This window comes from Homo sapiens, chromosome 1, assembly GCF_000001405.40.
Source record: "Homo sapiens chromosome 1, GRCh38.p14 Primary Assembly".
In the NCBI taxonomy this organism is placed as follows: Eukaryota; Metazoa; Chordata; class Mammalia; order Primates; family Hominidae; genus Homo; species Homo sapiens.
In genome coordinates this window covers 246,668,804-246,692,589 of record NC_000001.11, presented here as the reverse complement: position 1 = coordinate 246,692,589, position 23,786 = coordinate 246,668,804, and the positions used below count along the sequence as shown (strand labels likewise).

At 45.5% G+C, this 23,786-nt stretch overlaps 1 long non-coding RNA gene across 4 annotated transcripts, besides 1 other annotated feature; it reads right to left on the bottom strand.

Annotated features, from left to right (window-relative positions):
- LOC102724382 (uncharacterized) lies at nucleotides 1–13,837 on the bottom strand. 4 transcript variants are annotated; one of them, XR_007067002.1, is made up of 4 exons: nucleotides 2,625–2,892; nucleotides 2,376–2,437; nucleotides 592–1,122; nucleotides 1–490 (listed from the first exon to the last, which is right to left on the bottom strand). It is a non-coding gene; the product is annotated as an uncharacterized LOC102724382 (long non-coding RNA). The 4 variants fall into 4 exon arrangements; XR_949364.3 differs by lacking the exon at nucleotides 2,625–2,892 and adding an exon at nucleotides 9,405–13,837 and having other exon boundaries at nucleotides 61–1,122; XR_001738570.3 differs by having other exon boundaries at nucleotides 61–490; nucleotides 2,376–2,871.
- Nucleotides 2,236–2,756: an enhancer, noted in NCBI's record as "H3K27ac-H3K4me1 hESC enhancer chr1:246853136-246853656 (GRCh37/hg19 assembly coordinates)". NCBI's record gives its function as "activates a minimal SCP1, AML or CMV promoter by ChIP-STARR-seq in naive H9 embryonic stem cells {active_cell/tissue: H9 hESC(naive)}" and the evidence as "EXISTENCE:reporter gene assay evidence [ECO:0000049][PMID:30033119]".
- Nucleotides 13,838–23,786: the final 9,949 nt, after the last annotated feature.

Sequence of the window (23,786 nt, the reverse complement as noted above, 5' to 3'; positions counted from 1 at the left end):
AGGGAGGGAGGGAGGGAGGGAGGAAGGGAGGGAGGGAAAAGAAGGGAGTCTAGGATGAAGTGGGCACCTAAGCAGGTGAATAGGATAGGTAAAATCTCATCCCTGCCCTCAGGCGGTAGACACTCTCCAGTCATAAGCTCTAATGTGCTGTAGAAAAGCCTCAGGTTCTCAGGGGTTTTCCAGCTGAGCATCTGGAAGGCCGCAGTGCAGTTCTGTGTCCAAGCACTGCAGAGCCTCATGCAACAGTCTCATCACTCGGTGCGACCCTCCTGGAAGGTCTGTTCCCAGGGGAGGCTACAGCGAGGCAAGGGGAATGCAAGAGTTCCTAGCCAGGCTAGGACCTCAACTTGGCATTCGCGAGAGACAGATTCTCTGTGTCCCCCGTCCCAGCCCTGAAACCCACAGGAGGTAGAGGAGCAAGCTCTCAGTGAAGGCCTCGTCTCTGGAATCTCTTCTTTGGGGAAAAAACGACATGAGCCTGCCACAGAGCCTGTTTATGAAACAAATCAGAGAGCTATTTTGAGCAATTACCCCCAGCAATCACGACAGCATAACTTGTGTAGTCGGAACTAGGTCACCAAGTAATCTCACCAGCGCCAGAAGAAATTCATCTGGGAAGGACACTAGCTTGGGGAGATGAGATAGGATAGGCCCTGGCCTCTTGTCAAGATATCCAGATTTCAAGGGACAACTGAAGACACAACAGAGACAGGGGCTCACTATGCATTTCCTTTTAAAATTGGCAATAATCTGGCCACAGAATCAAGGTAAAGTTACTGAATCCTCTGGTTCTTGGTTCGGCATGATTGTAGCTGCTGGTGGTTGTCATGGAAACCAGCAGAGGCGTTAGATCTTAGCTCTGACACTCAGGAGAAGCTGAACTTATTCTGTTATGAGCTTTTTTTTTCTCTCTTTTTTTCTTTTTTTTTTTTTTAAATAGAAATTGTCTTGAACCTGGATAAACAGGCCTCAAAGTTTTTCCTCCGCCTGGCTTGGATATGTTTCTGTTTCTGCTTTCTGGCTACACAGAATCTAACGACGCATCAAGAATTGGCCCTGGTGCTCTGTAAGATGTTTTGTTGGGTCTCTTTTCAGTTGCCAGAGACAGAGACCTAAATCGACCTAGGTTAGGTAAGAAAAAATAAAAAGATTCATTATTGAGTAAATTATCAATGTGATATTGAATACCCTTTTTTTACTTTTTAGTTTTTTCATTTAATTCTAATTTTAAAATTTATTTTTTCATTTTACTTTTTTTTCCCCCACAATATAGGTGGGGAAAGACCGAAACTGGTCTGAAAATATTTGGAAACACAAAGACGGCCTTGGGCTGGGCGTGGTGGCTCATGCCTGTAATTCCAGCACTTTGGGAGGCTGAGGCAGGAGGATCACTTGAGCCCAGGAGTTGGAGACCAGCCTGGGTAACAAAGGGAGACTCCTTCTCCACCAAAAATTAAAAAATAAGCCAGGTGCGGTGGTACATGCCTATAGTCCCAGCTACTCAGGAGGCTGAGGTGGGAGGATCACTTGAGTCCAGGAAGTTGAGGTTGCAGTAAACTATGATCACACCACTGCACTCCAGTCTGAGTGACAGTGAGACCCCCATCTCTAAAAAAATTTAAAAAATTAGCTAGGCATGGTGGCACATGCCTGTAGTCCCAGCTACTTGGGAGGCTGAGGCAGGAGGATCACTTGACCCAGGAGGTTGAGGCTGCAGTGAGCTGTGATTGTGCCACTGCACTCCAGCTTGGGTGACAGAGGCAGATCCTGTCTCATTAAAAGGGTGGGAGATGACATTAGGAGTCTCTCTCTGTTTTGCCATCTCTCATCTTCGAGTCCATCACACTCTTGCTCTGTCGCCCAGGCTGGAGTGCCACGGCATGCTCACTGCAACCTCCGCCTCTCGGGCTCAAGCCATCCGTCCACCTCAACCTCCTGAGAAGCTGGGACTACAGGCACGCACTACCACGCTTGGCTAATTTTTCATATATTTTGTAGAGACAGGACTTCACCATGTTGCCCAGGGTGGTCTCAAATACCTGGGCTCAAGCAATCTGCCCGCCTCAGCCTCCCAAAGTGCTAGGATTATAGGCATGAGCCACGGTGCCCAGCCCCATCAGACTCTAAGCCTCCCCCTGGGCAAGGGATGGAGCAGGCAGTTCTGAAGTCACATCCTCACACTCTTTCTGCTTTAGTTTAAGGGAGAGAAGTTGGCTTCGAGGATGAAAAAAAATCCCAGGTGGGTTCTGATTGCCTCAGCTGGGAACAGGTGCCTGCGCCAGGGCCGGCTGCCACGTGTGAGGTGGGACCCGTGTCCTCCGCCCTCTGAGACAGCCAGGTGTTGGAAAGGATCTAAAACACGAATTCCATCTCACGTGTGTATATAGACGGCAGCTCCATTTGTTGTTCCTTCTAGGGGGTCCATACTTGTATCAGTCTGAGTCCAGTCCGGAGAGAGAAATCACGTAGTAATTTGAACAGAGAAAATTCAATATAAAGAATTATTTACTAGAGCAAGGGATTACAGCCATGAGGGGCTGGCTAGTAACAAAGAAAGAAAACTCCAGTGAACCAGCCCCAGGACTGAGAGAGCCCCCACGCCGGCCCCAGGCGGAGATCCAGACCTGTGCAGCTGTGACTCTGAATGGCAGAGAAGTTGTTGTGGTGCCCTGTGGCAAATCCTTCTGGAAGTCGGCCCTCCGAGGTGCCAGGTGTCTTGATTGCTAGAGGCATGCTGCTATAAAAACGGCACCAGGGCTGGCGGGCGCCGGGCTGGGCGGGGAGGTTCCGTCTCCTGGGTGCTGCTGGCTGCAGTCACTGTAGGAGCGGGGCACTGGGGGAACCACCCAGTGAGCACCCTGGAACCCAGAGGCAAGTCAACCTCTTCTCCTTCTCCCGTGTCTCTCTATCACCCTCTACTGGCAAGATTTCAGTGCTAGCTAGCCCGGGAAAAAAATATTTAAAGGTCCAGATCCATTTTCACAGAGTAGTCCAAAAGGGGGAATTTGGAGCTGAGAGTCCAAGATGGAAAAACTGGTCTGGGCGTGGCAGCTCACGCCTGTAATCCCAGCACTTTGGGAGGCCATGCAGGAGAATCACTTGCACCCAGGAGTTAGAGACCAGCCTGGGCAACATAGTGAGATGTCTCTATGAAAAATAAAAATTAAGAAAATTGCCAGTCCTGGTGGTACATGCCTGTAGTCCCAGCTACTTGAGAGGCTGAGGCAAGAGGACAGCTTCAGCCCAGGAGATGGAGGCTGCAGTGAGCTATGGTAGTGCCACTGCACGCCAGGGCCTGGGCAACAGAGCAAGACATTGTTGCAAAAAAAATGTATATATATATATATGATGCATAATACCTCAGATTACTCTCCGTTGGGGAAATATTCAGATTTTAGAAGCCATAAAGCAATGAAATAGACATTTAGCATCAACTATGTGTTATGTTTAGATTTGAATCTAACAGAATTAGGCGCTGTAGATCCTTGTTTAGCAGTGTGATATGATGAGAGCAAGTCTACCACATGAAGCTTCCTTTTAGATGCTTAAAATCACAGGGTAGGAAGGCTTGCTTCCTCTCCAGTTATTAAAGAAATTAAATTTAAAATTATATCATGTACCATTTTACACCTACCGGCATAAATGGAGGTGATAATGAACCCAGTGCTGGTCAAGTATTGGATACAGACGTGTAAACATCACTGGTGTCACCAGTTTATTACAGGGGTTCCGTCTTTTTGAAGGAAAATAATAAAACAAGAGCCTTAAAACAATCTTACCCCTTATTCAGTAATCCAAAAACCTCTGAATGTATTTCTAAGTAAAAAGTTCAAGGTCAGGTGCAGTGGCTCACGCCTGTAATCCCAGCAATTGGAGAGGCGGAGGTGGAAGGGTCGCTTGAGCCCAGGAGTTTGAGATCAGCCTGAGCAACAACATAGGGAGACCCTGTCTCTACAAAAATTTTAAAAAATTAGCCAGACGTGGGGGCGTGCAGCTATGGTCCCAGCTACTTGGTAGGCTGAGGTGGGAGAATCACCTGAGTCCAAGAGTTTTAGGCTGCAGTGAGCTATGATCACACCACTGCCCTCCAACCTGGGCAACAGAACAAGACTCTGTGTCTAAAATCATAATAATAATAATAGTTCAAAATAAAGGTCTATCTGTACAATAATATTTACAGTAGTATTCATTTATTATAGAGAGAAAGGTAGAAAACCCAAATGTCTAATGAATAAAGAAAGGTTACAGCCAGGCTCAGTGGCTCACATCTGTCATCCCAGCGCTTTGGGAGGCTAAGGCGGGCGAATGGCTTGAGCCCAGGAGTTTGAGACCAGCCTGGGAAACATGGAGAAACCTGTCTTTACAAAAACTACAAAAATGAGCCAGGCATAGTGGCATGCGCCTATAGTCCCAGCTACTCAAGAGGCTGAGGTGGGGGGATTGCCTCAGCCCAGGAGACTGAGGCAGCAGTGAGCTGTGATCTCACCACTGCTCTTCAGCCTGGGCAACAGAGTGAGACCCTCTCTTAAAAAAAGAAAAAAGGAATATGAGGATGAAATTAGGCAAAGTGAAGAAAATAGCCAAAAAAAAAAAAAGTGTACATACTATAACTATGGGGAAGAAACTTTATACACAGGTTACATGAATATACTAAAAACCACAGAATTGTTCACTAAGTTTTTGAATTTTATGGTATATGAATTATATCTCAAATGTAAAAAAAGAAAAAACACTAATTGAGGCCACAGGGATATGTAAAACATTTCTGTGGTAAAGGAGGGAGATGTTTTGCTTATGTATTCCTCCAAAGTTGTTTAAATCTGAAGTTTTAAGTTAAAAGTTTGATTCTGCAGTCTCTGTCCTGCTTTTTTGTAGCAGGCCAAAGTTGTTCCCTCACCACACAGCCCTCAACGGGGCTCACTCTACTTTTTTTTTTTTTTTTTTTTTGAGATGGAGTCCCACTCTGTCTCCCAGGCTGGGGTGCAGTGGCGTGATCTCGGCTCACTGTAGCCTCTGTCTCCTGGGTTCAAACGATTCTTCTGGCTCAGCTTCCTGAGTAGATGGGATTACAGGTGCCCGCCACCATGCTCAGCTAATTTTTGTATTTTTAGTAAAGACGGGGTTTCACCATATTGACCAGGCTGGTCTTGAACTCCTGACCTCGGGATCTGCCTGCCTTGGCCTCCCAAAGTGCTGGAATTACAGGCGTGAGCCACCACGCTCGGCCGCTCGCTCTGCTTCTGAGGGGTCTTCTACTCCCACGAGTAGACAGGTCAGGCTGCAAACACCCAGTCGCCATCACACTGGCGGGAAATGTCCCCTGAGCCGGAGTCAGGGACTCAGAGGGGCAATGGTGCTTCCGACCACTGAGGGTTCATTTCCTTCAGGGGACTGTCCATCGGGGGCGGTGTGGCGCCTGGAGCTCACACATGTGCAGAGCCTCAGCCACTGCTCTGAGAAGTCAGCAGTCAGAGTTCTATACACAAGGGGCTTAAGGGCTGCAGTCTAATTGGACGGGGGAGATGCAAGTGCCAAGAAAACATGGTGCTTGGACTTAGATTGCATACTTATTCAGGGTGGCTTTGGGGAATGCCCGTAACAGTTATGAAGATAGGGGCAAAAGCTTCCACAAGCGACCACATGGTGATGCCAACCAAATAAGGTAAATGTCGTGACTATCGTCCACATCTCATACTAGCAAACAGGCTTTGTGTGAGCAACAAGGCTGTTTATTTCACCGGGGTGCAGGTGGGCTGAGTCTGAAAAAGGAGTCAGCAAAGGATGGTGGGATTATCATTAGTTCGTATAGGTTTGGGATGGGCGTACAAAATACATTGTCAAGGGCGGGGGAGAATATATCGTATTAGTTAGGGTGGGGCAGGAACAAATCACAATGGTGGGATGTCGTCAGTTAAGGCTATTTTCACTGCTTTTGTGGATCTTCAGTTGCTTCAGGCCATCTGGATGTGTACATGCAGGTCACAGGGGATACGATGGCTTAGCTTGGGCTCAGAGGCCTGACAACACATGAGGAAATGGAGCTTAGAGAGGTTGAGTGACTTGTCCAAGGTCACATAGCTGGCCCAAGATGGAGCTGGGCATGAGCTTACTCCTTGGGATGATGGCGCCCATGCTTTGTGGCATCAGCATTACTGCAGCACAGCTTACATGTCTTACCAAAATGCTTCCTCTTTAGGAGGTGGGGTTGTGACTTGGACAAGGACACATTCTTCCCAAATCAATGACTGCAACACTTAACACTTCTTATGTAACTGGAAACCAATGAATATTGTTTCGGCAGGGCGCGGTGGCTCATGCCTGTAATCCCAGCACTTTGGGAGGCCGAGATGGGCGGATCACGAGGTCAGGAGATCGAGACCATCCTGGCTAACACGGTGAAACCCCATTTCCACTAAAAATACAAAAAATTAGCCAGGCGTGGTGGCAGGCGCCTGTAGTCCCAGCTACTTGGGAGGCTGAGGCAGAAGAATGGCATGAATCCGGGAGGCGGAGCTTGCAGTGAGCCCAGATTGTGCCGCTGCACTCCAGCCTGGGCAACAGGGCGAGACTCTGTCTCAAAAAAAAGGAAAAAAAAAAAAAAACAAAAAAGAATATTGTTTGAATGGATGAATAAATGAATATCAAGTAAATAAAAGAGGCAAAGCCATCATAGCAGTCTTTTAAAAAAAAACTGTATTTTCTGGGGATACTTAAATTAAATACTATTCCCAGAAAATACAGTTATCCTATTAATTCTAGTAACTCTCCTTGTCTCTTGGGTATGTGAACATAGATTATGTGTGAATATACACACGTGTGTGCTCTACTTCTGGCCAATGTTAAGCTTACCTAGATTACTTAATGTAGAGTGGATATAATAGAATGGATATATTCATAGCTGCTAGATTTAGGAAGGCAGTATTATTTTAACAGGCTACTAGCTTGCTTCTTTAGCAGTTACAATTCTATAACTGTATGATTGTTCCTTTTCTTTTTCTTCTTTTTTTTTTTTTTTATTTATTTTGGGAGGCTGAGGTGGGTGGATCACTTGAGCCCAGGAGTTTGAGACTAGCCTGGGCAACATGGTGAAACCCTGTCTCTGCAAAAAATATAAAAATTAACCAGGCATGGTGATGCATGCCTGTAATAACAGCTACTCAGGAGGCTGAGGCGGGAGGATTGCTGGAGCCCAGGAGGTTGAGGCTGTAGTGAGCTATGATGGCACCACCACACTCCAGCCTGGGTGACAGAGTGAGGCCCTATCTCAAAAAAAAAAAAAAAAAAAAAAGAAAAAGAAAACAAAAACCAAAAAACAAACAAACAAAAAAACCTTGGCCAACCCTGTCTTATGTAGTTAAATTATAAACATGATATTTTAGAACACTGGGATGGATGTATGCTGAAGGGTACTAGATATCTGGGGTACAGTTAATCTTGGGATATTAAGATCTTGATGTATGATTAGACCCTGGAGGGTGTCATGCGCGTCCTTGAGAAGAGACCACCAAACAGGCTTCGTGTGAGCAATAAAGCTTTTAATCACCTGGATGCAGGCAGACTGAGTCCGTAAAAGGAGTCAGCAAAGGGAGATCGGGGTGAGGCAGTTTTATAGGATTCGGGCAGGTCGTGGAAAATTACAGTGAAAGGGGGTGTTCTCTTGCGGGCAGGGGCGGGGGTCACAAGGTGCTGGTGGGGAGCTCCTGAGATTCATTGTCCAGGAGAAGGAATGTCACAAAGTCAATTGATCAGTTAGGGTGGGGCAGGAACAAGTCACAATGGTGGAATGTCATCAGTTGAGGCAGGAACTAATAAGTGGCTATTTTCACTTATTCTGTGGATCTTCAGTTGCTTCAGGCCATCTGGATGTATACGTGAGGGTCACAGGGGATATGACGGCTTAGCTTGGCCTCAGAGGTCTGACAGAGGGCATCTCGTCCATCTGCCCGCAAGATTCCTGATTTCACCCCTCACCCATCCCTTATCTTTCCAATAGTCAGTTTTCCTTTGAACATCTTCCTTAGAAGATGACCTCACCTTCAGAAGATGTCTATCACATTTCAGCCAGCTGTGACAAACAGAAACTTTATAAATTAGGCTGGGCGTGGTGGCTCACGCCTGTAATCCCAGCACTTTGGGAGGCCAAAGCGGGCAGGTCACTTGAGGTCAGGAGTTAGAGACCAGCCTGGCCAACATGGTGAAACCCCATCCCTACTAAAAATACAAAAAGAAGAAAAATTAGCTGGGTGTGGTGGCACGTGCCTGTAGTGCCAGCTACTGGGGAAGCTGAGGCACGAGAATCACCTGAACTCTGGAGGCGCAGGCTGCAGAGAGCCAAGATCGCGTCACTGTACTCCAGCCTGGGCGACAGAGTGAGATTCCATTTCAAAAAATAAATAAATAAATAAAATAAACTTTATAAATTGACCAAAATCTTTGTCCAGATTCTGAAGGCAGCTCTGCAAGGGAGATGCAAGTAGCACAGAGAACTGGCATGGTTTCCCTGCAGGCTGGTTTTCCTGGGAAGCGGACTCAGATGGAGTTTAGCCTGTACAAGTGCCCTCAGACCAACACCTGTGTAAGAGAGGAGGCAAGAGCGGGTGTGGGCAGTGGGAGGACCTGGGCTGTACTACAGGTCCAAGGACAGCCCCAGCCAACCCACAGGAATCTTTGGAGCTAGAATGCTCTTCAGAGTTTCCTGATTTCGGGGGAGATGGTCAGGTCTTCATACTCGGGCTTTCATCTGTCCCTGGATGTTGACAGGGCTGCTCTGGGGAGGAATGTGGTCTTGAAGAGCAGCTCCTGGAAGCTAAAGCAGGTCCCAAAGCCCAGAGGCAGTTTATGCAGAGATGCAAGCTCTCAGTGAAGGCCCAGCCTTCGGAATTGCTTATTTGGGGAAAAACAATGCGAATTTGCCATGGAGCTTATTTATGAAACAAACACACAGAGCTATCTTGAGCGACTGTCTCTAGGAGTCATTACAGCCCAACTGGTATGACGGGTGCGAGGTCACCAGCTAATCTCACCATAGTCAGAGCCCCGCTCATGGCAGCGCAGCAGCCAAGGCAACAAGTCCTTCCTTGAAGGACATCACTGCGCTCACCGAACACAGAGATGACATACATTAAAGCGGCGTGTCAGCCATTCCGTTGGCAATGTATTGGTTTGATAAATGTGTATCAGTGCAGCCTAAGCCACGGCATTAGCATGACGCCCACATATCACTGTTGGCTTATGATGACTGTCCACTAAACCCCTTCTTTTTCACATAGGCAGAAACTTTTTTCAGGGTTTTCAGGGAAGAAAGGGACCTGGGCTTTTAGCTCTCCCATCTCCCCTTCTGCCTCCAAACGATAGAAGCATAACAATAAAGACTTGGAGACCCAGCTTGCCATGCAGAGACTTACCAACAACCAAGCTACCAGATGCGTGTGAATCCATGTGGGGTTTGATAAGATTATTCTTTGTCCAAAGCCCTGATTGGTGGATAAGGTAAAGGAACCTAGTTTTCATTGGTAGAGGAATTAGGAGGAGGTGGTAGTGCCATCTGATTGGTGGAAAGGAGAGGGGCGTCAAGCTCACATTGGCTGGGAATTCTCCAGGTGCAAGCCACGTTCATCTCTGCACCCTCTTGAGAGTTCCCTTTGCTTCTTCCAAGCCTCTTTTCTCTGGCTTCCCACCCTGCCAGCATGGGGTCCACCCTGTAAGACGCCTGGGTGCCGATCTATCCTCTATCTACAGGGTCCCTGCTGAGCCTTTGCCCTGCAATGCCATTAGTTCCCCCCAGGCAAGGGACAAGGGGAGGCTCCTGCGGTTCATTAGTGTAAGGAAGGCCGGCTCCATGACACCAGCCCTGTGCTGTATTCAAGGGCAGGGCCCAGCTGACCCTCAGTGATGACGGAACACGGGAGAGATGACATACACTAAAATGGCATGTCAGCCATTCCATTGGCAGTTTGTTGGAACAGATGAAAAATGTGCCTCACTTCCTCATCCCTATCTGTAGATTTCAGAAATGTTGCCAAGGAAGACAAAAGATCTCTTCTCCAATGCTTGGCTTCCAATCGGTTTAATCTCTTGGAAAATGTAGACGTAATTGTTGAAAACAGGCTCTGCATCCTTTCCAGCCCCAGGGCCTAGCCCTTCCCTCTGATGGGCCACGTGCTTCCCAGGGGTCTTTGGGTCAGCTTGGCGTAGTCATAAAACAATTCTCCTTGAAATTAAGTGAATCAAGAGCTGAGGTTTCAGAAAGGGACCAGGAATTGAAGGCTGTGATTTCTCTCTTGAGGTCTTCTGAGGCTTCTGACTTGTTTACTTGTCCTTATTGCAATAGGAAAAAAAAGTTCTTCTGTATCCCACAGAAGAACAAAAATACTATTGAAAAATGATTTAGGGAGGAAATACAACACCATTAGAAATCAGATCTGGGATCGTGTAGGAGAGAAGGACAGGAGGGACCCCAGCCCATATGCAACACAGAAATACCAGCGGCTGCTTGGCTGCGCCTTCCACTCCTGTAGCTGAGACAACCATCAGCGCATGAGGTCACAGAAGGGCTGCTGTGGAGGGCTCCCTGGAGACCCACCTCGGGGCTGCTGGGAAAGGGAACTGCAGCCACAGAGCAAAAGCCTGTTGGTGAAGGCTTTTACTGACAGCTGGCTCCCATCTCCCCCAGAGCCTGCCCTCTCCCAGGCCTCCATTTGCAGATTTTTGTTCTTTTATGCCTGCAACAATTCCATTTGTGTTTATTATTAAATTATTGATCCCTTAAGTGTTTATGGCCTGCCAGACTCGTCACTAGCTAAAAGAAAAAATACACACATGTGTACATACTCATCAATATACATTATCTCGGCTGGGCACGGTGGCTCACACCTGTAATCCCAGCACTTTGGGAAGTCCAGGCGGGCAGATCACTTGAGGTCAGGAGTTTGAGACAGCAGCCTGGCCAACATGGTGAAACCCTGTCTTTACTAAAAATACAAATATTAGCTGGGTGTGGTGGCACATGCCTGTAATCCCAGCTACTCGGGAGGCTGAGGCAGGAGAATCACTTGAACCCAGGAGGCAGAGGTTTCAGTGAGCCAAGATCACACCACTGCACTCCAGCCTGGGCAACAGAGTGAGACTGTCTCAAAAAAAAAAAAAAGCCATTGTCTCACTGGGTGCAGTGGGAGATGGAGACAGCAGTGAGCTGTGGTCACGCTACTGCACTCAGACCTGGGCAACCCCGTCTCAAAAAAAAAAAAAAAAAAGCATTATTTCTAAAATGAGTGCTCATTTCCTTTTTCTCTATTTTTACTTGCTTTTTCCTTGGACAAATCCAGCATGCTTTGCAGACATGAAGACAAACATGATGTTTGCTGTGTCCTGTATTAGAATCTGCTTTTCCTTCCCACAATGGCCAAGGGGCTGTAGGGGAGGGTGCCTCCCGGGTCACTCAAGCTCATTCTGCACAAGGAAACCTGCATCGCACACAGACAAGGCTTGGTTCTGTGGTGACCGCCTCACCAGCTGCTCTACCCTTCCCTTCTTGTCCTTTAGCCAATTCATCACTCTATGCAGAAGGAAAGAGACCAGATGGACCTTGGCCACAGCTAATCCAAATGCACTTCTATTTATGAGCAATGATGTTTAACACCAAGTGGGAGTTGCTGTCCTGAAAGAGGGTCGGACAAAGACGAAAGCGCTCATCCAGAGGAGCTGGTCCCGCAAGGGCAGAGGGGCCAACAGCTGTTGCTGACAAGCAGAGGCAATGGAAGCTAAGCCTAGGAACAGGGCAAGCGAAAACGCCATCTTTTTTCACAGTGAATCATTGAGTGTCGGCTGGGTGCAGCCAGCAATCTCATCTCTGGAACAAGATCGGAATAAAAATAAGATGATCTAAGAGCCAGAACAAATGGCAATTATAGGCCATATCTCCTAACTGTGTTTTTAGCTGGTGCTATCTGCAAACTAGGAGTGACACACACAATTCTGTGAATTTGGGCCACCGTGACTGCCACTATAGGACAAACAGCACACACAGCCACGTTCAGAAGGTTTTTCACTTCAGGTAGAGTACTCAGTTTTTGGGGTTTTTTTTCATCACATTCTAAGCTATGACTACATTTCCACTTTTGTGAAAGATTAAAAACGGTTTAAATTCTGCAGACTCAGAGTCTTGTTCCACAAATGCCAACGCATTGTGATCACATCCTGCCCTTTGCAGACGTACTGCTGTCATGGCTGTGCCGATACCGTCTTCTGTTTGCAGACTCAAGACCCTGGGCTGCTTAGGAACTACGATGGGGGCTGAAGGCTGCTTCTGGAGACGGATCCCCTCTGCTCCTCTGGCCCTGATGACCCTGTCTCCTGTGGTCTTCAGCTTCTATAACACACTGTGGCACTGACAGAATTGCCAGACTTAGCAGACAAAAAATATAGGATGCCCAATTAAGTTTGCATTTAAGATAAACAAATTATTTTTAGTCCAAGAATGTCTGGTGCAATCCCTGAGCATCCTGTATTTCATCTGGCAGCCCTAGGCACAGAACAGACACAGGTCTGCCAGGGAAACCCTCTGCCTTCTTACCAGGATCCCCCAGAGAAACTCACACAAACACAGGACAACTCCATGCTAACTGCCTCACTGCCCGTGGCCTGCAGATACACAGTAACTGCCTCTGTTGTCTTTTTCCATGTGTAAGACCCAGAGTAACAGTGATCAAAGGCACAAAGTTCTAGGTCACAAAAGAGCAGGAGGAGAAGGATGCAGTGGTGATCCCAGGAGAAATGCCCTACAGGTATTTTCAACTTCTCAAATTTGAAGTGGAAAATCCTCCGTCAGCTGTGCTGCTCTTGGTCTCAAGTAAGTCACTGAAACTGCTCGGAGCCCAGCCTCATCTCTGATACAACAGAGCAAATTAACACTGCCCAATAATCCCCAAATAACACAACTTTAAAGAGCCAGACAAGGCTTACACACAACATCTGTGCTGCAGCTGGTCTCCAGGGGCAGGAACTAGACTCTTTCCCAGGTTGCCTGTGTAAGGAGCACATATAACAAGGGGTAGTATGCTCCCGGGGCCAGGTCCTCCAGAACTGGAACGTTGTTTGGGTTCTAGCTCTTGGTGGCTCTCAAGAGCGAGCCTTTCTGGCTGTCTAGTGGTTCTGCTGCTTCTAGACTCTTCAGCCTTATGCTGTTTCCCTGACAACGGCCCCAGCGTCTGCTTCTTCTGACTGCCACGGCCAGATACAGACTCCGTGCTCCAAACCGAAATCATCTGAGACATGACCTGCCTGGGCAGATACTTCCACAAAAGTTCCTGATTCTATGTTGTTCCAGAGACAAAAACTGCCCCCAAAGAACCCGTTCTCATCCAAGTCACTGTCCTTCTTCAGGTTCAAGCTTCAAGGCGTGCATCAGGCCAAGGCCCCAGTGCCCCAGTCTAATCACCTGTGACTAGGTTTGCAGGATAATGTAAGGAAAAGCATCAAACCTTATTGAGAAGCAGCGATCTGTGGCAGGCTCTTCTTTACAAGGGGGCTATGGGCACAGCGAGTGCTTCAAATTCTACAGATCGTTTCATTTCTTCCACCTCTGACCCCCATGTACAGCTTCAAAGAACTCCCATCCTACCCAACCCAGTGATTACACTCACCCACCCACCAAGTACAGACATCCAGGCTGTCTTTTCTCAGCGGTGGAAAGTCGAACACTTCTGGATATTCAAAGAATAAGAGGATTTTAAAGTTTGGAGTTATCTTAGAAATTGTACAGATGAGGGGCTGGGCGCAGTGGCTCATGCCTGTATTCCCAGTACTTTGGGAGGCCGAGGGGGCTGGATTACAAGGTCAGGAGTTCGAGACCAGCCTGACCAAGATGGTGAAACCTCGTCTCTACTAAAAATACAAAACTTAGCCGGGCGTGGTGGCGCGTGCCTGTAATCCCAGCTATTTAGGAGGCTGAGGCAGGAGAATCGTTTGAACCCGGGAGGCGGAGGTTGCAGTGAGCCGAGATCGCACCACTGTATTCCAGCCTGGGCAACAGAGCAAGACTCTGTCTCAAAAAAAAAAAAGAGATTGTACAGATGAGGAGACTGGAGTCCAGAGTGGAGGCTGCACACCTAGTTGATGTGGAATCATCAAGATTCCAGCCCTAGGACTGCAGGACTGCTTCCCCGCTCCGGCTCTTACGTACCAGAAAACCACCCTATATGACAAAAGGCTCCTCTCCAGAGTTGGCTCAACTACTATTCCTATCCCAATAATTTAGGTTTTCCCACTTAAGAAAAAAAAAGAAAAAGAAATGGTTGGGGGTGGGGGTGGGGAGGAGAGGTGGGGGGAAAAGATTATTTACATTTACAGTCCCTTTAGGACCAAGTTCCTATGCAGATTGGAAGCTTAGGCAAAGAGTTTCTTCTTCTTTGTTTAGTAGAGATTTTGCCAACCCTCAACCTTGTACTTGGAAAATAAGAACCAGCCATTTATGGGCTGTCGTCATTCTGGTGGATGATGTCAGCTGCCTCCACTCCCTAAGTGCCTATCTCTCCTTCCTGACCCTTGATCCCAGGCAATTAAGAAAAGCAATAAAATCATGAAACCTCACTTTTGATCAATGCATTCCGGCCAGAGGGAGATCAGGTTGTCCTTACAGAATGTCTATAATTAGATTGGATTTGGAATTTGGACTGCCACATCAAGTAGAAAAAAAGCATGGTTTTAAATTGCCATCTCAACATTTCAGAAGAAACTAGAAGGATCTAAAAGCAGTGGAGAGACTTCAGACAGAAATAAAGAAAAATAAGAGGATTGCAACACTATGTAAGTAGCTAGTTGGGCAGTTAGGTCTTACACAAATGAGGGCTGGTACTTGGAGGTCACCAAAATTTTTTTTCTAACCCAACTAAGCAAAAACAGTGAAAGGAAATAAGATATTCTGTCATACAGTAGGGGTTCCCTTGGCCATCATATATTACTTTGAGATCCCATAAGGCTACAAACTGAACATATATATATTCCACATATATAAAATTCCAAATATATATATATAGTCCAAATATATATATTCCAAGTATATGTGTGTATATATATATATATACATGTGTATATATACTTTTTTTTTTGAGACAGAATTTTGCTCTTGTTGCCCAGGCTGGAGTGCAATGGTGCGATCTCGACCCACTGCAACCTCCGCCTCCTGGGTTCAAGTGATTCTCCTGCCTCAGCCTCCCAAGTAGCTGGGATTACAGGCATGCACCACCATGCCTGGCTAATTTGTTTCTGTATTTTTAGTAGAGATGGGGCTTCATTATGTTTGTCAGGCTGGTCTGGAACTCCTGACCTCAGATGATCCACCTGGCTCGGCCTCCCTAAGTGCTGAGATTACAGGCGTGAGCCACTGCGCCTGGCCTGAACATATTTTTAACAACTTTATTGAGGTATGACTTATGTACATAACTGCATTCATTTAAAGTGCGCAGCTCTCCAAATCCAAGTGATTCTGAAAAAAAGAAAAATAAAAAATAAAGTACGTAACTCAATGAGCTTTGAAAGATGTATATTCATCCTCCCTCCATCCTTTGCCCCTCAGAGAAACACCGATCTGTTTCTGTTGCTATGGATTGGTTTGCATTTCCTAAAACTTTAGATAAACAGAAACATGTGATGTGTACTCTGTTGCTTCTGGCTTCTTTCACCCAGAAAAATTACTTTGAGATCCATCTATGTCACTTATGTGTCCATAGATCGTTCTTTTTTGTTGCTGAATAGTAAGTAGTCTCTTGTATCGGTGATGGATATTGGAGTGTTTCCATTTTTTGGCTGTTATGGATAAAGCTGCTGTGAACATTTGTGTGGACACGTTGTCATCTCTCTTAGGTAAAAATCTAGCTGTGGAATTGCTGGGTCATGCAATAGATGCATATTTAGCTTTATAAGAAACTGTCAGCCGGGCGTGGTGGCTCAAGCCTGTAATCCCAGCACTTTGGGAGGCCGAGGCGGGCAGAACACAAGGTCAGGAGTTCGAGACCAGCCTGACCAACATGGTGAAACCCCGTCTCTACTAAAAATACAAAAATTAGCCAGGCATGGTGGTACGCACCTGCAGTCCCAGCTACTCACGAGGCTGAGGCAGGAGAACCCGGGAGACGGAGGTTGCAGTGAACCAAGACTGTACCACTGCACTCCAGCCTGGGCAACAGAACGAGACTCTGTCTCAAAAAAAAAAACAAAAAAAGAAAGAAAGAAACTGGCAGGGCCCGGTGCTGTAATCCCAGCACTTTGGGAGGCGGAGGCGGGCAGATCACGAGGTCAGAAGATGGAGACCATCCTGGCTAACACGGTGAAACCCCGTCTGTACTAAAAATACAAAAAAATTAACTGGGCGTGGTGGCGCGTGCCTGTAGTCCCAGCTACTCAGGAGGCTGAGGCAGGAGAATAGGGTGAACCTGGGAAGCGGAGCTTGCAGTGAGCCGAGATCGCACCACTGCACTCCAGCCTAGGAGACAGAGCGAGACTCTGTCTCAAAAAAAAAAAGAAACTGTCAGCTGGGCATGGTGGCTCATGCCTGTAATCCCAGCACTATGGGAGGCTCAGGCAGGCAAATCACCCGAGGTCAGGAGTTCAAGACCAGCCCTGGCCAACTTGGCGAAACCCCATCTCTACTAAAAATACAAAAAATTAGCTAGGCATGGTGGTGGGTGCCTGTAATCCCAGCTACTCGGGAGGCTGAGGCAAGAGAATCGCTTGAACCCGGGAGGCAGAGATTGCAGTGAGCCGAGATCGTACCACTCACTCCAGCCTGGGAGACAGAGTGAGACTCCACCACCCCCACCCTCCAGCCCCCAAAAAAGTAACTGCCAAACTGTTTTCCAAAGTGGGCGTATCATTTCATACTCCCACTAGCTGTCTGTGAAAATTTGTTCCATGTCCTCACCAACACTTGGTAGTGTCAGTCTGTGTGTGTGTTAAAATACACGTAACATAAAATTTGCCATTTTCACCATTTTTCAGTGTACAACTCCATGGCATTAAGTACATTCAACGTCATGCAACCCTCCATCACCACCATCTGTTTTCTAAAATTTTTTATCATCTGAAACACAAACACTCTAACAAGTGGTAACTCCCCGTTTCCTTGTTCGTCCAGCCTCTGGTAACCTCTAATTTACATTTTGTTTCTTTGATTTTGCCTATGATAGATATTTCCTGTAAGTTAAATCATACGATATTTGTATCTGGCTTATTTCAGATAGCGTAACATCTTTTCAAGATTCACTCATGCTGTAGTATGTATCATTTCATTATTCTCATTGTGGTTTGGATTTGTATTTTCCTCATGACCAATGACGTTGAGCATCTTGTCATGTGTTATTGGCCATTTGTGTATCTTCTTGGAATAAATCTGTATTTAAGTCCTTTGCCCATTATTTGTTTGTCTTTTTGTTGAGGAAGCTCTTCATATACTCTTCATGACTCTGTATATGTTTACCTTTTTGTTGAGTAAGTTCTTCATAACCCTTATTATTATGTAATTTGCAAGTACTCCCTCCCATTCTTTGGGTCATCTTTTCATTTTCTTGACAATGTTCTTTAATGCACCGTTAAAAAACCCTGATGACATGTAATTTACCTGTGTATTATTATTCATGCTTTTGGTGTCATAGCTAAGAATACATTGCCAAATCCACATTTATGGAGATTCATTTTTATGTTTCCTTCAGAGTTTTATGGATTTAGCTTGTATTTAGGTCGTTGATCAGACTTGTCATACCCACAAAAAATAAACTGGCCAAAGACGTGTGGGTTTATTTCTGGAGTGTCACTTCTATTCCACTGGTCTATATGTCTATCCTTATAGCAGTACCACACTGATTTGGCTAATGTATCTCTACAGAAAGTTTTGAAATTGGGAAGTGTGAGTCCCCCAACTTTTTCAAGGTGGTTTTGGCTATCGGGGTCCTCTTGTAGTGCCATATAAATTTGAAAACTGACTTTTCCATTCTTGCGCTAAGAGGCTGTTGGAATTTTGATAGGGATCACATTGAACCTGTACATTGGATGGTACTGACATCTTAACAATACTGTCTTTCTGTGCATAAACATGGGTTAGCTTTCCACTGCTTCTAGTCTCCTTTCATCAGAGTGAGGCAGGAGAGGAAGGCAGTCAAGGAAGTGGCCATGTTCTTGGGACGCAGCAGCCCTGGTGACCGCCCAATCAATACAATAAGCCTCAGCATTCACACTGCAATTGAGCTCATTCAAGCAAAGCTATCTTCAGTAGGGACTTTCCCTTCTAGAGGGCAAGTGCATTTTGATTTTATCTGCCCTCAAACTGACCCTTTGCCCATTATAATAGTAAAACACACACTCCTGAGTGGAGATTGAGATGCTAATGAGACATGCGATGTACGAACAAGCATGTGCAGCTGCTGTGCACCCAGAAGACCACCCAGAACACGCTTCCTAGCAACACCTCTTCCCATCTCCTTATGAATAATCAAGGAAGACTCTCGTCAAGGAGTCTCCCTAGTGCCCGTCTTTGCTGTCTCGCCCTCAGGAGCAGCCCGCCCGGAATTTTCTCTCTCTCAGGGTGTACCGTCTATTCTGCACCCAACTTTCAAAATATTCTTTTTTTTTGGCAATACATTACACTGCACTTCTTTTGTTGTGTGTCTCTTGTTTAAATTCTTTTAAACCAAGAAGACAAGAACCAAGGTATCACATCAGTTGTTGACAAAAGTTTTGTAGTTTTGTTTTTGTTTTTTTTTGAGACGGAGTTTCGCTCTTGTTGTCCAGGCTGGAGTGCAATGGCACAATCTCGGCTCACTGCAACTTCTGCCTCCCAGGTTCAAGCAACTCTTCTGCCTCAGCCTCCTGAGTAGCTGGGACTACAGGCACATGCTACCACACCGGGCTAATTTTGTATTTTTTTTTTTTTAGTAGACATGGGCTTTCTCCGTGTTCGCCAGGCTGGTCTTGAACCCCCGACCGCAGGTGATCCGCCCACCTTGGCCTCCCAACGTGCTGGGATTACACGCGTGAGCCACCACACCCAGCCTTGTAGTTTTTAATGTACAAGTCTTTCACCTCCTTGGCTACATCTATTCCTAGGTATTTTATTCTTTTAGATGTGATGGTAATTGGAATTGACTTCTTAATATCTTTTTTGGATTGTTAATTGCTGGTATATAGAAACAACTGTTTTTTTGTGTATTTATCTTGTACCCTGCAACTTTGCTGAATTCATTTACCAGCTAGAGTAGCTTTCTTGTGAATTTTTGGGTCTTTCTGTATATAGGAACGTGTCATCTGTGAACAGTGTTACTTCTTTCTCTCCAATTTGGATGCCATCTTAGTCTGTTTTGTGCTGCTGTGACAGTATACCACAAACCGGGTATTTTATAATGAACAGAAATTTATTGGCTCGTAGTTCTGGAGCCTGGGAAGTCCACGATTGAGGGGCTGGCGTCTGGCTTCTGGCTGCATCATCCCGTGGTGGAAGGGCAAAGAAAAGGTGAAAGAGAGCAAGAGTTCAATTTTGCAGACTCAAGACCTTTTATAATTGACATTAATTCGTTCATGAAGTTGGGGCCCTTAAGACCTAAACACCTCCCAGCACTACCATATTGGAGATGAAATTTCTAACACAAGCTTTTTGGGGGACACATTAAAATGACAGCAGATGCCTTTTACATTTTTCTTGTCTAATTCCTCTGGTTAGAACTTCCAGGACTATGTTGAATAGCAGTGGGAAGGTAAGCATCCTTGTCTTGTTCCTGATTGAAGGGTGAAGATTTTAGTCTTTTTAACACTATGATGTTAGCTGCAGGTTTGTCATAAATGCCTTTTATTATGTTGAGGAAGTTCTTCTATTCCTAGTTTACTGAGAGTTTTGCTTTTAATCATGAAAGAATGTTAAAGGCCTTTTCTGTGTCTATTGAGATAATCATTTTATTTCTTCCCTTTTTTCTTTCCTTTTCTTTTGAGACAGGGTCTTGCTGTTACACAGGCTGGAGTGTAGTGGTGTGATCATAGTTCACTGCAGTCTGGAACTCATGGGCTCAAGTGATCTTCCTGCCTCAACCTCCCAAAGTGCTGGAATTACAAGTGTGAGTATCACACCCAGCCTCAAATTACAATTTTTTAAAAGCTGAAGAAAAAAACCATAAATATCACAAAATCCAGAAAAATTACTTATTAGTATCAATACTGAGAGCTCTATGATACATTTTTTGGCTGCATACTCTTTGATCACTTTTTCGTAAGACAATGATTATCCAATATCACTTTCTATTGGGATAATGAAAAGATAATTCCTCTAACATGGTTGACTCAAATTTGTTTTTTATCATTGAAAATTTAGAAAAATTTCAGCGTCTCAACTGATTATTGGTGATTCCATGTCTCTTTTTGTTTCTTTTGAGACAGGGTCTCTTTCTGTCACCCAGCCTGGAGTGCAGCAGCACGATCATAGCTCACTGTAACCTTGTACTCCTGGGCTCCAGTGGTCCTCCTGCCACAGCCTCCCTAAGTGCTTGGATTATAGGCATAATCCACCATACTTGGCCTGCGGCATTAATTCAGTCTTAAAATCAGGAAGTGTAAGTCCTCCGGTTTTGTTCTTTCTAACAATTTCACTGGCTATCTTCTAGGTCACTTGCATCTCCACACAAATTTTGAATTTTAATTTTTTTTTTTTTTTTTGAGACAGAGTCTCGCTCTGTTGCCCAGGCTGGTGTGCAGTGGCGCCATCTCGGCTCACTGCAAGCTCCGCCTCCCGGGTTCACACCATTCTCCTGCCTCAGCCTCCCAAGTAGCTGGGACTACAGGCGCCCACCACCACGCCCGGCTATTTTTTTTGTATTTTCTTTAGTAGAGACGGGGTTTCACTGTGTTAGCCAGGATGGTCTCGATCTCCCGACCTCGTGATCCGCCTGCCTTGGCCTCCCAAAGTGCTGGGATTATAGGCGTGAGCCACCGTGCCAGGCCCCAAATTTTAAATTTTTAAACTGTTAATTTATTTCTCTCTGCGTTTCTTAGACAGGATCTCACTATGCAGTGTAGGCCAGTCTTGAACTCCTGGGCTCAAGTGATCCTCCTGCCTTAGCCTCCAGAATAACTGGGAACAGAACCTGTTAACTTATTTAAAAAAGTACTGAAATTTTGATTGGAATAGTGTTAGATCTATGGATCAATTTGGCGAGAACTAACATCTTAACAATATTCCATCTTCCAATCCATGAACAGACTATATCTCTCAGTTATTTAGTTCTCCATTTCTTTCAGTAATATTTTATAGATTTCAGTGTGCAGCTTTGCACATACTTTGTTAAATGTATAAGCATTCCAATTTATAAGCTATTGTAAGTGAAATAAATTTCATTTATTCCTGAATTTGAAATGTCATTTTCCAATTATCCATTGCTAGTATTCACAAACACTGTTTTCTGTATACTGACCTTGTATCCTGTGGCCTTGCTAAACTCACTAGTTCTAATAGCATTTTGTAGATTCCTTCAGATTCTCTTAATTTATAAACAATCATGTCATTTGCAAAAAGTTTTATTTTTTTCTAATTGGAATGGCTTTTATTTCTTTTTCTTGCTATAGGACCTCCAGTACAAAGCTGAATATAACTGCCCTTTCTGGCCAGGCGCAGTGGCTCACGCCTGTAATCCCAGCACTTTGGAAGGCCCAGGCGGGTGGATCACAAGGTCAGGACTTCGAGACCAGCCTGGCCAATATGGTGAAACCCCATCTCTACTAAAAATCCAAAAATTAGCTGGGCGTGGAGGCGGGCGCCTGTAGTCCCAGCTACTCAGGAGGCTGAGGCAGGAGAATCGCTTGAACCTGGGAAGCAGAGCTTGCAGTGAGCCGAGATGGCGCCACTGCACCCCAGCCTGGGTGACACAGTGAGACTCAATCTCAAAAAAAAAAAAAAAGTGCCCTTTCCTTATTCCCGATCATAGGAAGAAAACTGTTTGGTCTTTCTCCATTAAGTATTTAATATTAGCTGTGAGTTTTCATAAATGCACTTTATCAAGTTGAAAAGTTCACTTACAGTTCTAGTTTGCTGAGTTTTTAATCATAAACGGTGTACGGATTTAACGTGCTTTTTGATATGATGTGGTCTTTCTTTCAGTTTGTTAAAATGGTGAATGAATTGAGTAGAGTGATTTGTGAATATTAAACCAACATCGCATTCCTGGGTCAGATCTCACGAGGTCGTGACAGTGCGTTACCCTTTTTACACCTTTAGATTTGATGTACTATTTTGGTAAGGACTTCTGTGTCTAAATTCATAGGTCATACTGGTGTTAGGTTTTTTTCTTACTGTCTTCGTTTGATTTTGGTATCAGGGTAATTCTGGTCTCATAAAGTCAATTTGCAAATATTCTCTCTCTCTTTCTAAGAGTATTTTGTAGGATGGGTATTATTTCTTGCTTAAATGAAAGACAGAATTTACTGGTGATGCCATCTGGGACCGGAGTTTTCTTTGTAAGAAGGTTTTCAATTCACGGAAATTCAGCTTCTCAGTTTTGAGGAAGGCTCTTGCAGAAAAGCTTTCCACTGCTGGAAAACCTGCCAGCCATTCATGTCACATGTGCTAACTAGAAGTGAAAAGCAATAATTACTTGATAATAATTACTACAACCTGGCGGTGAGAAAAGATCCATCAAGATTCCTATCAAGCTGCTATGCAAGTGGCCTAGATAGAATTATCCTTGGATTTCTAACAGTGTGTGACGCACACTAGGGAAGCTCTGGTCCCCACCCCCGTGAGTAGCATCTAATAGTGTGTGACACACCAGGGAAGCTCTGGTTCCCACCCCGTGAGTAGCACGTTCCCAGGTTCTTCCTTTTTATTCCCTCTGCACAAATATGTTTCCCTCAGCAGATGCTAATTCCTGGAGCTGGTACCATTTCTTGTTTCCGGGGCCCCAGAACCCGGCTCAGTGCTAGGCACACGGCAGGCATTCAAACGTTTGCCAAGGTAAAGACAGTGATAAACGCTGTTGCTCATAGTTCTGCACTGATCTCACGGGAATAGACAAAAAGGTGAGTTTGGGAGCAACTCTTCTTTGATCAGGGAGAAGAGAACGGGTACCTATTGGTTACCGCAGCTTTTCTCTCAGTAGCCTAAACCCAGGGAGATTGAAATAGTACAAAAATTCCTTAAGGAAATTTCTAACCCACTGTAGCTTGTATAGGGTTAGGACAGGAGGCTCAATAAATGTTTATCTTTGGGGTTGTTAAAACAGCAGATGGCACTAGAATTTGTGCCATAAATCCTCGAATCACTCTTACTTACTCTTTTTGAAGATAGAGGCAACAGGGCAGTATAGAAACTATGACGGATTTGGGAGTTGTAAGATCTGGATTGGAGGGATGTGTATTTACTAATCTCAGCATCAAATGAAAAAATGTGTAAACACCACACACACTGCACAAAATCGTACACAACAGCGAGCCCAAAGAAACGGACAGTTACGCAGTTCATGTCACCAGAAGGGAAAAATTCAGCCTCTCTCTGGATTGGGAGTAAATGCCTCAAGGCCACCTTCAGCAAAGCAGGTGAACAGCTAAAGGATTTCTGTGTCCTTTCCCACCTTTCACCTTTCTCCATCCCTGCCACTCCTACCCCATATCCTCCCGGCACCCCAGCAAAACCCAATTCACGTAAGTCCTTCAAATAAGGCCCGTGGGCCGAGTGCGGTGGCTCACGCCTGTAATACCAGCACTTTGGGAGGCTGAGGCAGTCGATCACCTGAGGTTGGGAGTCGAGACCAGCTTGGCCAATGAAA